General features: G+C 39.0%; 1 protein-coding gene across 26 annotated transcripts in view; it reads left to right on the top strand.

Annotated features, from left to right (window-relative positions):
- PDE1C (phosphodiesterase 1C) overlaps window positions 1-22,814 on the top strand; it is an 811,448-nt gene that overhangs the window by 377,672 nt on the left and 410,962 nt on the right. Inside the window, exon 1 of one of the 26 annotated variants that reach the window (XM_047420446.1) lies at window positions 6,677-20,904. The gene's annotated coding sequence lies outside the window, so the exon portion shown is untranslated. 26 annotated transcript variants of the gene reach the window in all.

Here is a 22,814-nt window from a genome sequence, read left to right as displayed (position 1 = left end):
CAGTCAAGCAAATTAACATATTCATCACCTCACGTTGTTCATTCATTGGTTCATCTTGTATACACTGCTTTCTGTTTTTTACAATGATTTGTTTTCACAAATTTCATTGGACAATAATGGCACAGACGGTCTCCCATGACCTCTTTTATTTCTCCAGCGTCATTTCTTGCTACTTCCAACCTCCATCTTTATTCTTTAAACTTAGCTATGACTCTCCATCAAAGTTGGGATTCTAAAGGTCCAGCTGATCATGGATGCTTTCTTAGGAAGAGCTTTCATAAACTTTTAGTAAGCATATTATCTTAGGCTTATCTAGAGGTGTAGACCTCATGTATGTTAGGAGGCTTTTCTTGAGTTAGGTGGTCCCATAAGATTATAATGGTGCTAAAAAATTCCTATTGCTTAGTGACATAGTAGCTGCAGTAACATTGTAGTACAATGCATTAGCTTTTCTATGTTTAGATATGTTTAGATACCCACATACTTACCATTGTGTTACAGTTGCCCACATTACCAAGTACAGTATTATGCTGTACAAGTTTGTAGCCTAGGAGCAATAGGCTATACCAACAGCCTAGGCATGTAGTAGGCTATACCATCTAGGTTTGTGTAAGTACACTTAATGATTTTCACACAATGTCAATATTGCCTAAGGACACATTTATTATAAGGTGACTCCATTGTTATATTCTGTAATATTTATTCTTTTTATTGAGAAGAGTTAGGAAATAAAGTTACTTAGACCTTTTGCTGACCAAGCATTTGAAGCCCACAATTCAATCTAGACGGCCTGTATCTGCTTTCATTGTACTTGACTTGGGTGTTATGGAATTAAACAGATTACATGCAGATTAAAAAAATCATTAATGCAATTAAAATTTGCCAGTAGGTTTCAACAATGGCATTTTTTAGATCACTGCTTTAGTCTCGCCTTTTCTAATGAGCGTCATCTCACAGTAGAGATTCCTGTGTTGCATGGTCTCCTCCAGGGGTGTCCAGTGGAGAGAATACAGTCATGAGTTCTTAGTTTCTGTTTCTATTTGGGCCAGTAAAGCCCCTTCCTCATCCCTCTTTTATTCTTATCACTATAGACAGAAACTAAAAATCATGGCTTCAGGCTGCTAAAAGCCTAAAACAAAACAAAACAAAACAACAACAACAACAAAATAAAGTGGGTTGAGCAAACTTGGGTCCAAGGGAGTGGTATTATAATTTGATATGCAGCATAGAGTGCACGAGTCATTGAGAGGAAAATGAACTAAAACTTGAAAGCTTCCTGGAGATTGCTGTACTTTTCTAAATATAGTGAGAGCTTGTACAGATGGCTAAACAATTCTGTCTTGTTCAGGTTCGTTGGACTCACGGTAGTAATTGCATGTGAACCACTGAGCAGGATGTAAATTAATCACTCAGATTAGAGGGCACAGTAGTCTTGAGTAGTAAAAAGTAATTTATCATTTTCACATGTAGTTAACCTGGAGTATGAGGTGCTTCAAAGTTGCCTCAATTTTATTTTAAGGAGAGATACTTAGACAGTGAGAGGAAGTTTTACAAGAGAGCTGCTCAAACCTGTCAAGGTTCAAATTACAATGTCAATTTTGTTTTGAAAGTGTGTTTTTTGCATATCTGACGTGAATGCTGTTGCCTTTTTTTATTTTGTCACTGTAATGAAAAATAAACCAATTATGTTGAACAAGCTTTATTGAAGTCATTTAAAGTGTGAATTAATAGAGGATCAGTTTGAGCTCTTCTATTTTTAATGAAATACATTTTTTATATGAAGTAGATCCATGTGCTTCTGATCCATCATTGAATTACAAGCCATCCTCAACTTAGTGGCTTAAAATAACTTTTATTCTGCTCATAATTTTGCAGGTCAGGAATTCAGGAAGGACTTGGCTGGCTGGTTTGAATCTGATCCACCTGGTGTCAACTGGGGCTGCTGGGGATGGAGACTCCACTTCCAAGATAGTATCTTTGCTCACGTTAGGAGTCTTGGTGCTTTTTGTTTCTTGCTCTCTCCCTCTCTATTTTTTTTCTCTCTCTCCCTCTCTCCTCACATGGCTTTTGTCCTCCAGGGTGCTTCCATCTGGCTTGGGCTTCTTACTACATGGTGGGCTCAGGGCAATTGCACTTGTCTGGTTTCTTAGGTCAAATGTTCTAAGAGACAGGAATTAAAAGCTGCTAGTCTCTTAATTATGGCCTGGGTCCAGAAGTGAGCACAGCATCACTTCTGCTGTGTCTTATTGGTCAAGCTATCACTGAACCCACCCATTCAAGAGAATGGACCATAGACTAAATCTCTTGATAAAAGAAGTGTTTTAAAAAATTTCCAGCCTTGTTTAATCTATAGAGCAAACCTTCAGCCTTTTTCAGAATAATCTTGCTTGAGACCTTCTCTGGGGATCTGTAGATTTGGAGTAGGTGGATTCCTCATTTGATGAATGGTAGACAATTTTAAATATATCTTGACACTCCCAGTCAAGTAATGGTCTGTTTGAATGTTTGCTTGCCTACTTGATGGTTTATTTGGACTGGGAATAGCTGTGATTCCTTTCTCATGGTAGGAATAAACACAGCAATGTGGACTTAACTGGTGAGTTTAATTCTAACTGCAGTTATTTGGCTGGAGTTAATAATTAGTCAAATAAAGTAGGTGGCTTAATATAGGAAAACTAAGTGATATAAATGTTATATTAAAAGGTTTGATTTGGACATCAAAGGGAAGACAGCCCAGGATACAAAAATAATCTACATTTGTTTACGCTTTTCTTGCTAACTTTCATTTTATTTCACTTATGTATTTGTTTACCTATCAAAACCTTGTTAAAGAAAAAAAAAACCCACAGCTTTCAAAGTAATTGTCATCCTACTACAACACAATTGAGGCAGTTATCTTTCTTTAAGTATTTCACCAAGTACGAGGCATATTTTGGTAGCCCAAGGGAATGTTTTGATGATAGTGATTTTACTGAGTCTCACTCCTAGCATTAAGGAGAGTATACTAATCTCTTCCAAGACCAAATTTCAGTAGAAAGAGTGATTTCATAAGTCCTCTTTATCGGGTTAGCAAGGGAATCAATAGGTAGTAGGTAAGCCTCTCCTTGCACAGAAAACCTTATTGGATTGGGTTTTAAATCCACATATTTAAGGGGAACTATCCTTTTGCTTGTGAATGAATCTTGTTCATGAGGGTCAATCATTCCAAGAGATTTGCAGAAGTGGTGAAATGGTAATTTGACGGCTAGAGAGGATTACGCTGTAAACCTGCTTACTCATAAATGTCTCATCCGGTTTCTTTTAATAGAGTTTCACCTTCAAGTTATCAGGTCTGGCTTGCAGAAGTTTATACCTTTGAGAAATACTTAGAAATAACCAAATACTTATGAGCTGCCCTTGAAGAAAGGAATTGCTATCAGAGCTGATGTTGCAAGCTGAATCTATGATAGAGGTGCTTCCAACACACACACACACACACACACACACACACTCTGTCTCGCACACACACACACACACACACCCCTATTTCAGTATGATAGGGGATTAAGAAATAGAGGCACAAATTAAAGACCTATCCACAAACCTGAGGGAGTTCTACAGACACACGTTCAATTTTCATGTGTCTGGATTATGGAAATACTTTGGTCAGAATGTTTAGGAGTTGGAGTTGTGGCTTAAAAAAGCCATACCAGGTAATGAACAACCTCATTAGCATGAACATTTTTGTTTATTTGTTATTAATCATAGCACTGTTTAGATAGTTTAGGTAGAAGTTCTAGCTCTTACTGTGTCTGATTTATTCATTTTCTAAATCTAGACATATTTCTGTGAGTAATTAACTTTAGACAAAGGTGTCCCTCATGTTTTTGATAATCATATTATACTGATAGTCACATGCACAGTACTTTACAAAAATCTTCCATTTAACAAAAGTTTATTTAATACTTACTATAGTATATTGCTATATAGTTCAGTAAATACTGGAAATAACAAGATATGTACAATTGCCTCTGTTAATAGGTACAGAGGCTTGTAGGTGAGATACAGGTGAACAAAGGGATTATAATAAAATGTGGTAAGTGCTATAATAGATATAAGTATTGAAGGTCATTGGGAACAATCAGATCTGTTGGGAGGATACTTACATTATCATATACTCTTCTCTCGCTAGATTATAAAGTGAGCCTCCAGTATTGTTTATTATTCGTGGTGCTTGAAAGTATGGGCATACTGAAGTCTAATAGGATAGCCCAGAATCTTTCCTTCTTGTTTTCTTCATGTTTTCAGTTATTTTAAAAATGTATGTTTTGCTGATTTTTAGGCTTTCTTTTTTTTTTTTAAAAAAAAGGCAAATGGCTCAAAAATATTCTAGACATTAGGAAGAAGACAGCCCAGGATACAGACATGTGCAGATAATTGATAACCTGGATATTGTACATATAGATAATAGTGTGGCCTCTATCTGTGGCAAGGCAAAGCAAGGAGTTATGTTTTTCCATGAATGTCTAATGTGTTATTTCACTTGGATTTTGACGTGGCTCAGTAATCACACTTGATGAACCCAGTAATTGATTAAATCCAGCAAATGATTCCCTTAGTCAGGCCTGCCCATGTTCAGCCTTCATGAATTGACATAGCTAATAAGTCATCATCAACAGCCACCTTTGCTGGTAATAATAGATTGTCACATGTGAAGGGAGGGAAGGCGAGTGGTTATCACCCTGTGGGAGGCTGCCTGCTAAGCAGTTGTATCCTAGGATGGGATGTGGTACATCTTCTGCTGAACTCTGCCCGTTTCCTTCCCAGGATATATTAAGGCCCATTGGTTAATTCCGAAGTTCTTTCAGCACCTTTGAAATAGAATTGGTAGACTGTTGTCCCCTACCTTTGCAATTAAAAGTGGCAGCTAAGTAACTTGTTGGGAAAATTAACAGGGGTGACACTGGATAAATCAAATCATACATTTTTGCAAACTTAATGCACAACCAATCCTGCATTCTACTGCTTACTTAGTAGTATTGATTTTCAGAGCCTAAGTGGTAACATCAGGGACAAGAGGATCTTCCAAGAGATAAATCCCTTTACAAATATTTTCCTACATTTGTGATGACTAATAATACAGTCTCAAAGTAGTAAGAACAAGTGCATCAGCCATGAGAATGTGTCCAGTTTACATTCCAAGATTGCCACCTGAATCAGGGTGCCTTTATAGCAGCCACAGTGGTCTGGTTAGAGCCCCAGTCACAGATGGATGCTGAGACTTAGCCTGCAAGTGCAAGTCCTGGGGCAGTTAATGTGAGAAAGGGCCAAAAAGCACTACAATTTCAGGTAAAACATGGCTGGGGGTGGGGGAAGGGGAGTGATGGAGAGTCTATATAGTTTTGATCAGAGTTCAGAGTACAGGCAGCCATCACTCATTCACTACTTAGTCATTCACTCACTTACCCTTGCTAATGTATCAGCAGGAGTCGGTGGGGGGAAGGGAGGGGGTGGGAGGGGGGCAGGGCACAGGTGTAGGGATCTAGGCCCAGAAAGGCTATTTAGAGGCTTTCACCTGGGAACTAGGCATGGGATGAGAGGGTGCTGAGATGTAGTAAGTATAATAGCTCAGGCACTTCGTCTGGGTAGTGTATCTAGACACCAGTAGCAGGAGTGACCTTGGCATTGAGCTGTCATTTTCTGAGTCAAGAGGATCATCTAGGCACAATTCATTCGTCTTTTCTCTTCCATCTTCCTTATGTCTGATAATTACTACCATTCTTCCATTTATCCAGGATCAAAACTTCTGAGCCCCTTTGTATGATCTTCTGTTGGGTGTTCCTTCAACTTTAACTTTTTATTCTTCCTCTTTGCCCATGATCAATGGGTCCCTAACGGATTGTGGGCTTTTCCTTCACATTACTTTCCCTCCCATGATCTTGGTCCAGTCTCATCACCTGTCTCTTAGAGTATTGGGTGGCCTCTTTAATCTCTTTCATTACTCTGGTTTCTTCATCTTCTCCATGCTGCATACCTATGTCTGATTACTTTCTCCACAGCTCCTCTGATTGTGCCTTCTATGTTTGAAAAATAGCAACAAATCTCCATTGGCTTCCTGTTGGCCATTAAATGCCTATCTTCTTGTCTTGGATTTTAAGGCTGCCTACACTTGCTTCCACCTAAACTTTGCTGCTTTGTCTGTTACCTTGTTCCATTCACCCTAAGTTCCAGTCAAGCTGAACTCCTTACTGACTGTCATATTTGCCTGATTTTTTTATGATCCTTTCTTCTTTCATATTCTTTCCAGTACTCTAAATGTTCTCATTTTTATCTGTTGAAATCCCATCTTTTCTTCAAGATCCAATTCAAAGACCATCCCTTTCAATGGAAACTTCTTAGGTATTTCCACCTAAAAGAGTTCCTGCTTCTCTAATTCTGTATAAGAGTTAGTGGGGTGCATGTCATTCCTTGTGGCATCACTGATTTTTTTAAGTGGGGAATATGCTCCCCAAAAGCATTGGGCATGACAGATCTTTATTAAATGTGCATTGATTTTATGAATAAATCAGATTGGGATCCTTCATATATTTCTATCATGGGTCAGAACTAACGTCATAGTTACTAGGTGGAACTCTGGGTAAATAAGTTTGGATTGTGACTCATACTTTCAAATGGCTTTGCAGTTCACTGCATACTCCCACACGTAGACTCTCATTTGACCCTCACACTGGCCGGTGTAGAGGCCTGTGAGGTCAGCAAGACAGATGGCATGCATGGCAAGAATCAGTAAGTACATAATTGCTTAAATCATTGACTCTGCCTTTCTTTTCTTTTTTTAGTCCCTGCAACATGGAACTCAAGCTTTGGGTGGAAACACTGAGAGTATTTTAGCTTTAATCAGTGCTTCAATCTCTGTGTTTCCTCTACTCAAGCCATTAATCCTGGAGGTGCTTAGTACAGTATCAGATGTATTTGCTCAGGGTGGATCATTCTGAATATTTGATATTCAGGTATCTGTGTGGTTGTGCATCATTTGGCTGTTTGGCGGTGTTTTGCCAAAATGGTTTTGAGAGTAAGTTTCTTAGATTGCCTAATAAGACCGAAGTGCATTTTCAGGACTGTCAATAGCACTTATGCCCAGGCATATCAGGGTGCTTCAAAAGTTATGTCCAGACTTTAAGTTACCTGAGGAGGCAAATCTCTAAATCCTTCCCAAACCTGGTGGCTTTCAATGCTAAGAGGCACAATTGACAGGGTTGAATCAGTCATTAGTGAGGGCCGCCATGCTGGGGCCAAGTTCAACTTCCAGCAGCAGCAGCTTTAAAGGCAGATTTCAGACTCCCTGGAGACACTGGTCCAATGGAGTAGGTGAGCATTTCTTAACCATGGCACTATTGATGCTTTTGCTGTAGGGGCTGTCCTGTGCATTGTAGGATGTTTGGCAGTATCCCTGGCCTCTGCCCACTAGATGCCAGTAACATCTCATCTTCCCCTAGCTGTGGCAACCAAAAATGTCCCGTGTATGTCAAAATCACCTCTAGTTGAGAACCACTGGTAAAGAGGTAAGATTAAGAATCGTGTTTGTGTTCTGTCACATTTAGCTGTGCCGAATTGCTCCTCTCTGGTTCAGTGTCCTTGTCTGTAAAGAGATGAGATTCAATCTGAGAACGAATGTGGTCTTTGGCTCAAAAACAGTATTCTCTGGTTCCAGTTACTGAGGTCCTTCCAGGAGGAAGTCTAGGTCACTGAACAACATCTGCAGTGATGGTGGGCACTCTCTGCTGTTTAACTGAATCACCAGAAAAGAACAAAGCTGCCAGTTAGCACAGAGATCACTGGGCAGGTGACATAGTCTGTACCCCATATATATTGTCCTTTAGCCCCTAGCCAGATTATCCTTGGTTTACAATACTTCTAAATTCACTTAATTAATGAGAAGTAATCATGGGACATTAAAAGTATTGCTAAAGCACAAACTTTGGCAAGCACATAGGTATGTCCAGAGGGCCCCCTACTGATTGAAATCTATTGTGTGTCTACAGTGTGCCAGGTGCTTTACATGCATTTTCTCATTTGATCTTCACAATGATCCTGTTTTACAGAAAAGGAAGTCATGGAAAAGAGGTAACTCATCTGAGGTAACTCAAATGAGCAGACAAATGGTCGGGCCAGGGTTTAAAGGCAGGCCTTTCAGACACTGAAAGTTTCTTGAGTTCTTTCTATCCCTTTGGCTTTATAGTTTTTTTTGTCTGTTTTCTGTTTTTGTTTTTGTTTTTAATGGAGTCTTTCTCCATTGCCCAGGCTGGAGTGCAGAGGCAAGATCTCAGCTCACTGCAACCTCTGCCTCCCCAGTTCAAGCGATTCTCCTGTCTCAGCTTCCTGAGTAGCTGAGATTACAGGTGCATGCCATCATGCCCAGCTACTTCTTGTATTTTTAATAGAGACGGGGTTTTACTATGTTGGCCAGGCTGGTCTCAAACTCCTGACCTCAAGTGATCCACCCGCCTTGGCCTTTCAAAGTGCTGGGATCATAGGCATGAGCCACTGTGCTCAGCCTGGCTTTATAGATTTTTACAGCTGTGGAGCCCCTCCTTTTTTTTTCTTCCCCAAATGAAGCAGCTTAAAGCTGAATAAATCAACGTCAAAAAGATCTGCCTTTGGTAGTTCATTTCTCTACTCTGCCAATTGTTCTTTTCTCTTCAGACATTTTATGTTTGAAAGTTTTCGTATTTGGCCTTAACCTAAAAGTTGAAGCTCTCAGGAAAGTTTAATGAAGACTTAACAAAAAAACAACAAGCTATATTTAAGTAATGTGATTGAAAGGGAAAAATCCTCACCTCCACCACCAGGTTCTTTTTTCAAAATTGTCTATTTTCGTACTTAACAGCTAAAGTGCTTTGAAGCGATGTGATCAGTCATACATGAATACATAACTCTTTATGCATAAAAAAAGTAAATAACAAAAATAGAATCGGATAAGAGAAAACATGTTCTGTATTTTTCTATCCTCTGATTTAATACGATACTGCCTTTTCAAAGTTCGTGAGGTCACTGCCTGAATTTTTCCCTTTTCTATTCCACAAGTGAAGTCACACTCAGCTCTGCTTTGTTTATTCTCATAAATTTGGGATGTCGAGGAGAGGGGGCTGGAATGATGAACTTCTAAGCAAGCTGGAGGGAGTATGGCAAGATGAGAACATGCTTTGGAAGGGTGTGTCTGTAGTCTTTGCCCTGCCATGAAATTGGAAGAGTATAGGGTTGGAATACAGAGCAGGGGTTTGGAGTTGTCCATACTTGGGTTAAAATCTGAGTCCTGTCGTGAACCTGGTGAAATGCTTGTGTGGGTTTCCCCTGCCTACTGGAATCTGTTTCTTTTGGTAAATGGAAATAGTATTTGCTTCCTAGGGTTCTTGTGAGCCTGGAATGAAATAGTCTATGTGAGGCACATAGGAAGACTTTGGTGTGTGGAAAGTCCTTAGTCACTGAAGTCTTGGGACTTCAGTACCGGAATTCAGTGACCACTATGCAGAAGGCTTACACTTTGAGATGATACAGGTGGAAGTCTTGGGTCATCTAAGGGAACAGGTAGGAAGCAGACAGGTCTTGTTCTTCAGGGGCTCTGTGAGGCAGAGTCTGGATCTTATTTACTAAAGCATGGAATCAGCCTTAACAAGGGATTGGTGACTGTCTTTTGGGGCACATGGAATAGGACTTAAAGAAGATTGGGGTAGGTGGGGCAGGAGATCAAGCTACGTAAGGGCAATAGGCATTGGGACATGGACCTTAATTAGGAAAGGAAAATTTTGGAAGGGCACAGTCTCTTGTGGCCATAGAATATCTTTCTACGGGAAGGCATTTACAGTTTGTCTTCATTTTTAGTTTTCTATTTTGAGGAAAATTTATGTTCTTTAAACTATCACAGAGTAAACAACACTGTATTTCATTGATTGAGAGTATACATTCTTGTGTCAGAATGCCTGGCTTCTGTTCAATTATATTCTAAGCATATGACCTTTAGTAAGTTACTTTATTTCTCTAAGCCAGTGGTTCTCGACTGGGGGTGATTTGGCTGATTTGGCCCTACGAGGGTATTTGGCAATGTCTACAGACAGTTTTTGGTTGTCACTTCTGGATATGGGGTATATTACTGGTATCAAGTGAATAGAGACCATGGATACTGCTAAATAGCCTATAGTACATGGAACATTTCCACCACAACAAAGGATTATCCAAAATGTTAGAGTGCCAATGTTGAGGTACATAGTTCTAAGCTGTACCTTCTTCTTTAAAAAGAGAATAACATACTTACCTTGTGGGTTTGTTGTAAGGGTTAAAAGAGATAAAGATTAAAAGTGTTAAGTGTATATCCTGGCTTTTAGTAAGTGTAAAGAACATTTTAGCAATTGTTATCAATGTTACTATTTTGACTTATTGTTGTTTATGTAGTAAATTTATGACTTATGTTTCATAAATGTAGCTGACAAGATTTTATAGGTGTATTAGATACATTTACATTTCACAAGGAAAATTTTTAGACGTACTTTTAATCATGCTTTGAAAGAGATTTTAAAGTTGTCTTGAAGGGTTAATATTGTGTGGCTTATATAAACACAGTATACTACGTTCTGAAACAAATTAGAAATCATAAGTTCCACATGCTATTGTATTTTACTAGTCCTGAAAAGCACAAAATCACAGGTCTTAAATGAAACACTTTGGTATTGTTGCACATTGTTACCTAGGAGGCAATAAAACAAAATATATTTACTGGGAAATGAAGTTCCATCCCTTACTTGTGGGGGTAGAGACAGTAAATTATAATAGTGATTTCAGTGAAAATTAGTAGGTACAAAGCAAATCACAATATAAATGGGAATAGATTCCTACTTAGTATACCCTGACAACACAAATATCCCTAGAAATTGATAAAAGTCCAGTGCTTCTGAAAGCATGGCTGAATGTGGAGTCACAGGCAAGTTCCTTCCTGCTGCGAGGTTCTGAATCGCGGAGCTCTGCCACCAGGGGACAGGGTCGTCCCCGTTGTCCTGCACTCTGGTATGTACATAAATGGAGGACTTTGTGTTGACTTTTCTACAATCAGTTCTTTAATCTTTCAGATGTGTTCCACCATTAGATCATAATCAAGAATTCTCAGAATTAGCACTGCAATTAAAGCATGTGAGAACCCGATGTGAGCAATATGGACTGTGAGATGTGCAATCATCCTTCTGCTGTCATACCAAATTCATAATCCTACATCTTTGATAATTTTGCCATGATTTTTTGGATAATTTTAGTAACTACAAGTGTGCTCTGTTGTTTGTAATAGTACTATCTTTACTGATCACCCCTACTCACTCATGACCCATTATCAAGAAAGTAGGTTAACCCTTAAGGTAATGCAAACAGTGCCTGTTTGCTGGGTAAACAGAAGCCCCATTCCTTCAGAGGACATAATGCTACTATTTGGGAATGAAGGTACTTAATAATAACAATATAATACTGGTGATGAGGATGATGATGGTGGTGCTGATGGTGGTGGTGGCCCATGAGCACAGTTATTGCTAACTTCATACTTTCACCTGTTTGCTTTACATCTGCTTTTCTTTCCTGCTGATTCATTCTATTGAGAAACATGTTCTGGGAGCATGATTTTGAGATCTGACAGATGAGATTCTGATGAAGCCATTGTAAAGCTTAAATCGCTTCCCATTTAGCATCATTATTTTGAATAGAAAGAAATGTTTCTTAAATTAGTCTCTTGTGTCGAAGATGAATCATGTTTAAAGGGTGCTTTTTGTCTTCAGATTCATAGGGTAGATGATCCCCCCTCTTTGATATCAGTGACTTACTTTTGCCACTGGCTTGGGTGGAACATTGTAGGAGCATAATTATACCAGAAGACTGTAAAAAGGCAATATATCACTAGCATTCAGAGCATGGATTTTGGGGTCTGAGAGATGTAAATTTAAATCCATTTTCCACCACTTAAACTTTGTGATTTTTCGGCCAGTTAAGCTTATTCTCAGGGTGGGGCTTACTAATGGTACCTAATTCAAAGGGTTGTGATAAGTAAATGAGACAATGCGTGTATGCTATATGGCCCAATTCTAGATATATATACTAGCTGTTAATATAATGCCTGCCCTCCCAATAAAAATTAATGGCCACAGAATGTCTTCCTTCATCATAATTAACTCTCTGCAAAACTTGGCCTCCCTCAGGCACTTATTCTGCTTGTGCGGGAGATTAATTCTTCAGGATCTCATTTATTGGAGGATTTGTTGGAATGGGGTCTGCAATAGGCGGAGGTGGGAGAATCTGTGTCTCATGCTTCAGGATGATCCTCAAGGCTGTGAAGGCAAAACTTGCAGGTCTGCATAAAGAGGCTAAAAGAAGAAATCCAACCCTTTTATCCTAAGATTCTAGGTGTCACCTACTACTGTTATTCTTTTGATCCCTGTATTTATCTTCTAGTAGGCTCTGCAATGCATAGATCTGTGGGCAGGGACCTTATGTTTCCACCATATATTTAAAAAGGGTAGGTGAGATTTGCAAAATGAAAGTCAGTCCATGTGGTTTGCATTAATAATACTACTGAGAGATTGAACAAATTGAAAGTACTTATTTTAAAAATAAGTCATACTGAATGTTTTGAGTTGAGTGTATTTTATTTATGGAGGTAAATTTTGACCTGACTCCACTCTCAGACTCTTCATTTCACTACAGGTTTACTGAGTGGAACTATGCAATTAGTAGTCAAGCACTGTGAGACATTAAACCAAAACCAAAACAAAAAATGAAATGTGGTTTCTGCCCTCAAGGAGCTAATGACATAATTGGAGAGATATAGGACCCAGACAGGTAATTTCAATATAAGTTATTTGACAAAGGTACAAAGTCATAGAGAATTTCAATATTAAGTTCTTGGATAAAGATGTAAAGATTTAGTTACATCTGCTTAGTTTGGGGGTTCAGAAAAGTCTTTCTGTAGATGACACCTGAGGCTTAAGGATGAGTAAGAAAAACAGCCAGATGTGGAAAGGTGGTATGGGTGTTTTATTTAGAAGGAATACTATGAGCAGATAGTTCATTTTTATCACCGCTTTTGTTATCTGAGTCCCAGTCCCTGCTCTGGCTTGAGTGAGGTTTGTATGCAAGAGAAGGGAAGGATTGCTATGCTGTGGGTATCCTTGTGGGTGAGGGGCAACTCCCTGCCTTAATTACCTTATCGTGAACTAGATTATCACTCCCCTAAGGGCTGCAAGCAAAAGACAGAAAACACCTAATAAAGACCTTTCTCTACTTGAGAACATGCAGTGTGGCCATTTGGGCTATGTGGACCACTTGTCTGTCAGAATGGCCCATTTCAAAGAAACCAGGAATCACTTTAAAATAAGAATCAGGGAAAATAAAGACTCCTACAACTTCCATAAAAGAGTAGAGATTGACAGTAAATGATGAGATGTGATCCCCCCTTTTTAAATTTTCTCAGCTTTTGTAAGGCTGGTATGATTTCTTTCTTACGTAATTGATAGAATGCATCAGTGAAACCATCTAGATCTGTCTGTCTTTGTAGGAAGATAGTATTGAAACAGTTCTCAAATGGTATCAGAATTACCAGCAAGGTCTGTTAAAACACAAATTGCTGTGACCCCCACCCCACCCACTCTAAAGTTCTGATTTGGTAGGTCCGAGTGAGAGCTGTGGATTTACATTTCAAAAAGTTTGCAGGTGTTGCTGATGCTGCCTTTCTGCTGGAGCTACATGTGGATAACCTCTGCCTTAATAGGTATAGGGATATTCAGAGTTTCTATTTCTTGTTGAGTCATTCTTGGTTAAGTTGTGGTTTTTCAAGGAATTTGTTCATTTCATCTAAGTAGTGAAACTCATTGACATAATGTTGCTTGCCATCTTTTTAATATCTGTAAGATCTGCAATATCTCTTTTTCATTCGGGACATTAGTAATTTGTGCCTTCTCTTATTTCTTGATCAAGCTTGCTACTTGTTTATTACTTTTATTAATGTTTTTAAAAATCTTCTGTCCTTGTTAACTTTTTCTGTTGATTGTGTTATGTTTTATTGTGCTCTGCTTTTTGTTTATTATTTCCTTTCTTCTACTTACTTTGGGTTTAATTTGCTCTTCATTTTCTAACTTCTTAAGGTGAAACGTAGGGCATTGATTTTAAACCTTCCATCTTTTCTAATATGAGCATTTAAGCTATACAACTCACTCTAAGCACTTTCTTTCTCTGTACATCCCTGTTGCCTCATCCATACCCCTATTGTTACCTAGTAAACCCGTAGGATGGATATGCTGGGGCAGGTGAATGAATGAATGAATGTAGCTGACCTGGTAGTTTAGATGGCTCTTCCTTCATCCTTGTTTCTTGCGTATGTGGTTCTCAGACAAAGGAATTCCATTTATAGGAGAAAAAGTCATTTCTGAAGTAAACAATTTGTGAATGGAGAAACCTGTGTTTAGAAAAAGTGTGGTACCTGTGAGGCTGGCCTGACACTTAAAGAGCATGATTCCACTGCTATGTTGGCTGAATTTTCTCTGAGCTTGCCCCACTCTGGTGTTTCCTTCACAGGCCAGGCTGTCCTTCTTGTTCATTATCCAAGGGGGTCAAGATGAAATTTCTCTCCCTTCAAGTCAGTTTTCACAATTGACCAGGCACGTTAAAGCTGAAACATGGGATTACCTTTCCTGTTTTCTCAGCAGCAGCTGGCATCCATTGCCATCAGAAGCAAGAGCTGCCCTCTGCTAATAGACTCTATACACTTGGACAGAGATGATTCATACTGCTAGGATTTCGAGCTCCTGGGTCTCTTGAGATGAAAACTCTCAGATGCATAGATTTTCTGGCTTTTGGCAACTCATTTAATGAGCAAATAATTCGGATGCTCTTTACCCCCGCAAGGAAATAGGGAATTCCCTGGGAAATTTAGTTTGGGACCCATCACTGTATAAATCATTTACAACAAACGTTGATCAGAAAATATAATTTCTTTATTCTCTTCCTTTTAAATTTATACCATTGGTATTGATTGCAAAACAAACAACAACCAAACAAACAAGCTAGGTGTAAGAGTTAAAGAAAGAGGAAAGAAACGTGAAAAGCAGCTCAATAGTCAAAGACAGGTTTATTTTGGAGAATAAACCTGAGAGGGGCTTCTGGCCAATTTGGTCAGGAGCACTCTCTCTTACAGACTAAGAGTATTTAGGGGTTCAGAGTGAGAGAGTTTATCACAGGCTCGGAATGTTTCTGTGTGGAGGAGAAGTTTATTGTGGGGTTGGAATGTCTCTGGTTGTAGGGGAGTTTATCTTGGGGCAGGCATGTCTCTGGTTGTGGAGGCGTTTGTCTTAGGGTTGGAATGCTTCTGGTTGGAGATGTCATTTGTAGTTTATGGTCATGCTGACATTAGCCATTAGGCTGATGTCCTTTGGGTTGGATTTCGGTGGCTTTTGATCAAGGGGAACTTTAAAATGTTGGTGCTTTTCCAAGAGGGCAATGCTCCTGCTCTGTCACTAGGCTGAGGAGAAACTAAACTTTGCCTTTAAATAATAGAGTATGATTGTAATAATAAAAATAGCCATAATATTACTTGAAGATGCATGATAATCATGTCCTTGGCACTGAGATAAATGCTTTACACACTTATTTAATTTTTATTAACTCCTCTGGGATAGGTGCTATAATATTATTGCCTCCATTTTATGGGTGAGAAAACTGAGTCTTAGATAATCATAAGTAACTTTCCAAGGTCAGGAAATGATGGGGCTTGGTTCAATTGAGGTCAATTTGACTTTTGGCCCCAATCTCTTAACTCTTATGCTACCTTGCCTCTGTATTTAACTTTGGAGGTATTGGGATATAGTGACAAAGGTGGGATTATGACTTAGTGTTTACATTAAAGTTCACATCAGTACTGTTTGGAGGTTTGGTTAATTCCTGTTTAGATTTTTTGTGCATTTGAAGCCAAGCATGACTGGGAGCTACCATGAACACACCTTGGGGAGAAAAGGAAAATAATTTTTGTAGAGAATGGGGACCTCAGTGAAAACTGTGCCAAGGAATAGGATCTCCAAATCGCTCAGCCTCTTTTTTCACTGCTAAGGGGAATCCATCCACCAGATTGGCATCTTTGTCCGAGGCACAAATCTGTGCAGCACAAATCAGCTTTTCTTCATTCTTGTGAGATTTATGGGATGTGGCTTCTGATTGAGCCATAATGGGTAGGGGGAGTGGGGGATGTGAGTAGGGGAGAGGGTAACCAGAAGCTCCAGCCCATCTGTTGGGCCACAAGAGGGCTTAATTTCTTCCTCATTTTGCTTTTAGAAGTTCATGAAGGAAACCTGTTTTTCCAGTTCTTTGCTCATGTTGTCTCTCTGCTCTTTCCAGTAAGGGGTTGATATCCAGGTGCTGTATGCTGGTTTGACTGTGACACACAGTAAAAAAATACACTTTACATTATGCGTGCAAACACACACACACACACACACACACACACACAGTCTCTCATCTTACTACCACTGATTAAGTCTAATTTTCCTATTCTATTTTATTAACATAAAATTGTTGGCTATAACCCAGTAAGCTGATTTTATTATCTACTGATAGAGAGCAGTCCATAATTTGAAAATTACTGATAATGGTTGGTGGGAGTAGAGTATCAGAGCATAAGCTATATCCTTTTGGGGATGAATTTAAATGTCCAGGTCTAATCTGGACATATATTAATGCATATAAGTACGTTAATAAATCAGGGTACTGTTTTTGTTTTCTGGAGATAACTCAATATCCTTCCAGGGGTCTTTGGGTTTTCCTCCAACCTGAATTAGAAGCAAGCCATGACAATTTCTCTCTTGGGTCTGTGGGTCAAGTCAAAGGAGGTAGCCAACAGAGAGAGAACCTGGTGGAGTTTCAAGGTGACAGTTCAGGGTCCCCTATTTGTCTCAGTGGTTCAGGGTGAAGATACAAGGTCAGGAAGCTGACTGTGCTCGGGAACCACTTCTTGAAAATCTGTATTCTTTAGAGTTTTGCAGTAGATAACAGCAATAATGGAAAACAGGTTTTTTTGTTTTTTGTTTTTTTGCCAAGGTACTGACTGAAGGAAGGACATTTATCCCCTTAATAACAAAGGGAATTGCGCTCCTTTGATGCTCAGAGTGGCATGAAATATATTCCATATACATTCTTCAACATGCTTTCCAGACTGTAAGTTCATTAAAACTACTGAATGAATTCCAGGGTGAGGAAGATTAAGCTGTAATTTACTATATTTCATGGCTCGCTTCTCCCTTTTCTTTGAGCCCATTCATCTGTGGATGAGTCACAAAGAGATAGCAAATGCACCACAGAGCATCACGCCTCTAGGACAGCTTTGGGAACTAACAATTGATTCTGCTAGGATGCCATCAAGAGAGAGTCTGCCCCTTCCCTTCTGCCTTGCCCTGCCTGGGGATTCAGCCCTCCTTTCATCCTGGGAAGGTCTTACTCCGTCAGCTGATCTCAGCTGAAGATTAGTTTTGAGAAGTCACCTTCTGAATTATTGTGTTGGTAAGAGAGCTTGTGATCTCCAGTTCATGGTCTGGTCTTTCCCCATCTCCAGCTCTCTGCTCACTTGTTAGTCTTTCCTTGTGTACCCGAGCTTTGCTGCTGCATTACTCACAGGAACCTTACAAACAGCACTTCTCAAAAAGTTTAATGTGATCATCTGGGGATGTTTTTAAAACGTGGATTCTGATCCCGCAGAGCTGGGATGGGGCCTGAGATTCTGCATGTCTAACGGTTACTGATGCCCTGGTTCTTGGCCATTCTTTGGGGAGGGAGGCTCCACAGGTTGGTGCATAGGTGTGGAGAGGGCACTGTCTGTGTGCACAGCCCTCATTTTCATAAGACCCGGCATGTGACCATAAGATGGTAGGTTTTTATCTATAATAATAGAAGCAGGAATCACGATTCCTTCTTGGTAGAGCTGATATTTTCTCTCTAGTCCAGTCACTTTTCTCTTTGCATTCATCTTGTATTTACATGTGCCTTTTGGGAATCAGTGTTCCTGTCAGTGGCTGTCTCCACACACTCGTAGCAGTGAACAGATGCCCTGTGAACTTGATTCTTGCCTCGGAGTTGTGAGGAGCAGGGTATGCCCCAGTGGCAGAGAGATGGGGACACTCTACGGGTGTGAGGAACTCACAGAATAGGAAGCCTGGCCTTGCTGTGAAGTCCCTGCTGGTCTGGGACACAGCCTGACAGTCAGGCAAGGGCAAGTAGGTTTGTTTTCCTCTTTAGAACATGAGGTCTCCACCTCCTCCTCCAAAATAACCTTTGAGGCAGCCTCTTCTCTCCAGGACCCCATGTGGGCTTTTCTGGCTTTTCTGCCCCATGTGGCATCCTGGGTTTCTAGAACACATGTGATTATAACAGAGTATGCCACCATGATCAACTTATGAGGAAGTATGTCTACTCTTTTGACTTTATTGTAGTTTTTGGCCCTAGAAGGAATCTTGGATGTCATCTTTTTCAGCCTCAGGTGAAGCAGAAGCTCAGATGGCAAAGGGTTGTGCACAAAGTCAGGTGGCCAAGCATCTAGTCTCTGACTACTGGGAAAGCAAATAACTCATTTTACAGCCTCCAGGAATTTCTCCCCCAAGCAGTACTTCTCCTGCGGTACAAACCTGTGGCCCCCTCTGACAACGTCTGGACACAGTCTCCTTGCCCCATCTCTTCCCACTTCCAGGCTCCCCACTGTGTAAATTTCCTAGAACCCTTGTGGTAGAGGGGCCTCTCCTACTTTCCATACCTCACATTCACATGTGTCCAGCCTCTGTTTCCTGCATCTTGCCAGTCTGTTGATTCTATTTATCCATCAAGGCCCTAGTCTAATTTGACTTCCTCCTTGAACGCAAGATCATCAGGCTGGTTGTAAGGAACCTTGGGTTCTGATCCCTGCCTATAATAAGCTATGCAACGTGGCCAAGATCTTTATACTTTTGTGCCTTCATTCCCTCATATGATCAAAAAAGGAACTGGCTGTTAACACTTCTGTGATTTCACAATACCCTGATTCCACCCTATTCTCTCCTTTCTCTGAAGGGTTGCCCTTGAAGCAGTGTAGAGGTGTCATCTAGACCTGGAGTTTAGATTCCAGCTCTGCTACTAATCAGTGTGTGGCTTTAAGCAAGTTACTTAATCTTTCTGGGGCTCCTTTTTCTCATTAGTAAAAGATAGGGTTGTTAGGGGGAATCAGTGTATAGTAAAATTATCTAACATTTTAAGCACCCAGGATAATTTTCAAAGAAAGGTAAAATTATACTCTCTTTTGGATATAAAATGAACATGTGTTAGAGATTTTATTTAACTCATTATTAATGAGGGAACTGGTAGGATGTTATGACTACCAATGATGTTCAAATGACAATCCAAAGAATAGCCACATTCATAGATTGGAATGTGCAAATGAAGGACAAAACACATTCCATAGTGGAGAAGGGAAGCTCACTGAATCTTCACGAGACAGAAAGTAATATTTGCATGTCAGTGGACAGGAATTGTTTCATGTTGTTATCAGTTATCCACAATTCATGTAGTTGTAAAATAGATCAAAGGCTCTATGGGATATGCCTCTTGTTGCAGAGGACAGTGACAAGAGAAACTTAGACCACTTGGTCACCTTTAAATATTTTTCTTGGTGGTTGTATATATCAAGGCAAATCTCCTGGTGAAGTCCAAAATGGAGTGGAGGAGCATAGTCCTTCCTTGAGGAGAGAAGGAGGTCTTTATTCACAGATAGTAATAGCATCTACCACAGTTTGCATTTAGTTTATAAATTTTTAATCAGGTTTATTATAAGTTTCTAAATAGGTTTATTATGAAGTTGACCAGAAAGTCCTTCCTAAGTTTTATGCCCTGCTTCAGGGGAAGATCAGAAAGTCCTTCCTGTACATGCTGTTTCTCAATTCCTTCAGCTTAAAATATTCAATATGCCCAGGTAACTTATTTTGGCGGTAATGTGTCTGAAACCCCATCAACATGTACGTAGAAGCCTACTGATGTCTTCAGTTTTTCATGAGAAGATTTTCAGCGATCTAATTTTTTAAAAAATAACCAATTCAAGAAAACACTTTCTCTGTATTCAAGGATATATCCACGTGTTCAAATATATTCATAGACATGGTGAGAGAAACTCCATTCTTAGGTAAGCATAAGCATGAGTTTGGTGGGTTTCAATATATTAAATTTTGATTTGGGATAAACACATTTGAGGGTGTGTACTATTGTTTTAAAATCATTCTTTTTCTCTAAGTAAAATCTGAATACATTTTCTTTATTAAAAAAATACTACTGAGAAGACCAAAGTGTCCAGTCTTCTTTGATTCCTCCTCTATCCCCACAACCAACTTATCCCAGGTTCCTCCTGAGAGATTATAGCTATTGTCACTTTGTGTGTGTGTGTGTGTGTGTGTGTGTGTGTGTGTGTGTGTGTGTGTTATAATATGCATTTTTCAGCAACTTGCTTTTTCACTCACCCGTAGCTTGGATATTTTTCTATGTCAGCTCATAGAAATGTACCTCTTTTTAAAAAGTTTACAGTATGGCTAAATCACGGTTAATTGGGATGTTCTCTTAATGATAGGCACTTAAGTTGTTTCGAGTTCTTTACTGTGATAAATAATGTTGCAGCAATATAAGAAGGCTCATTATTGTGTTTATTAAGGGACAGTCTTTAAAATGCACAAATGTATTGGCTAAACTCTGCTTTCTATCTCTTTCAGATGTATTGGTGCATGTAATCAATGTTCATTGCCTTGAAAATCCCTTTTACAACATTTACACAATTTTTTAAACCTAGGTTGCATTACCTGTTTGGGTGAAAGTCATTGAATGTGGGAATCCTGCTCTTAAACTCGATGCCTTGAGGTAATTTCTATGACCTGCTGTGATATTTTCCCCTCCCTTCTTTCTTTCCTCTCTGCCTTCTTTCCTCTCCTCCCACCCCTCACTACACTTACCTCCACTCTTGTTGCAGACCCTAGATGGCTTTGCACCTATTATTTCTTGATTTATTCTATCACAAAGATAAACTTTAGTTGAGAAATTCTTTGTTTTTCCAAACAGTGTGAAAAGGTTGATTCCGTAACTTGGCTATTGTGAATAGAGCTGCATTGAACATGGGAGTGCAGGTATTTCTTTGACAAGATGATTTCAAATCCTTTGGATAAATACTAGGAAGTAGGATTGCTGGATCATATGGTAGTTGTATTTTTAGTTTTTTGAGGAACCTCTGTATAGTTTTCCATAATGGCTGTACTGTACTAATTTACATTCCTGCCAACAATGTATAAGGATTTCCTTTTTTCTCCATCTGAGATGATATCTCATTGTGGTTTTATTTTGCATTTCCCTAATAATTAACAATGTGAATTTGTTTTTGCATGTATTTGTTGGTCACTTGTATGTCTTCATTGGAGAAATATCTATTTAGGTCCCTTGCCCATTTTTAAATTAGGCTTTTTGTTTTTTTGCTATTGAATTGTTTGAGCTCCTTATATATTTTGGATATTAATACCTTATCTGATGTATGGCTTGCAAATGTTTTCTCCAAGTCTGTAGATTGTCTCCGTACCTTGTTAATTGTTTCCACTTAGATGTGGAATCTAAAACAACGAAGCTCATAGAAGCAGATAATAGAATGGTGGCTACAGAGGCTGGGGGGAAGGGAAGGAATGGGGAATTGATGGTTAGAGGTTACAAAATCTCAGTTACACAGGAGGAATTTTTTTGAAATCGATTGCACAGTGTAGTGAATATAGTTAATAATATTGTACATTTCAAAATTGCTAAGAGGGTAAATTTCTAACGTTCTTACCACAAAAAAAATTAAGTATTTAAGGTGATGGATATGTTAACTAGCTTGATTTAATTATTCCACATTGTTTTCATAAATTATAACATCACTTTGTACCCCATAAATATATATAATTACAAATAGTCAATATGTAATAAAAATTAAGATAAAGAAATGGGAAGGATATATACTGGAAATAAATTAGTAATAATAATAATAACAATAAGAAACTGAAGTTGAGCTGGTTTTCACATTGGCATAGAGCTTAATCTTTCTTATGGTTTGCATAGATTGAAGGTGTGACTCAAGCACTGTTACTGCTGACTCTGGTGAACCTCCAGTAGTAGGAATAATGAAGCATATGAAGAGACTTTGTGTGTTTGAATGAATAAATACATATTTGAAAGGGAGAAGCTTGGGACCTGTTAGATTTACACTGGAAGTCTAGATCTGCTGTTCAATATGGTAACCACTAGCCACATGTGGCTCTTGAGCCCTTGGAATGTGGCTACCATGGTCACATGTTAAAATGATAAATAATTGAGTCTATTAGTTAAATACAATATGCTCTTAATTTCAGTTGTTTATTTTATAAAACATGACTACTTAGAAAATTTTAAATTATGTCTGCAATTCAGGGTGTCTTGCTGTTGGACAGCCCTGCTCTAGCTGTCAATCAGGAGGAAGACTGGCAGTGAGCCAGGATTGATTTTGCATCATCCTGTTTATTAGAGACATACTTAAGTTCTAATCCCACCTTTAGTACCTAAAGGTGATTAAGTCTGAATCCCAAGAAGACTTGCCTATGCTTTTTTTCTGATTGGTTTTTGAAGATTTAATATGATTTCAGTGTAAGGCTTGCTACATCAGATTTTTTTGTTGTTGTTGCTTTGGAAACATCAAATGAAGAATTTGAGGAAAATGGCAATCACTAGATTAGCCTAATAGACAGCAGATTTTTTTAAAAGTTTTTTTTTTTGCA

This window comes from Homo sapiens, chromosome 7 (assembly GCF_000001405.40).
Source record: "Homo sapiens chromosome 7, GRCh38.p14 Primary Assembly".
NCBI lineage: Eukaryota > Metazoa > Chordata > Mammalia > Primates > Hominidae > Homo > Homo sapiens.
The sequence above is the reverse complement of the archived record's forward strand: the minus strand, read 5'-3'. Positions and strand labels throughout refer to the sequence as shown.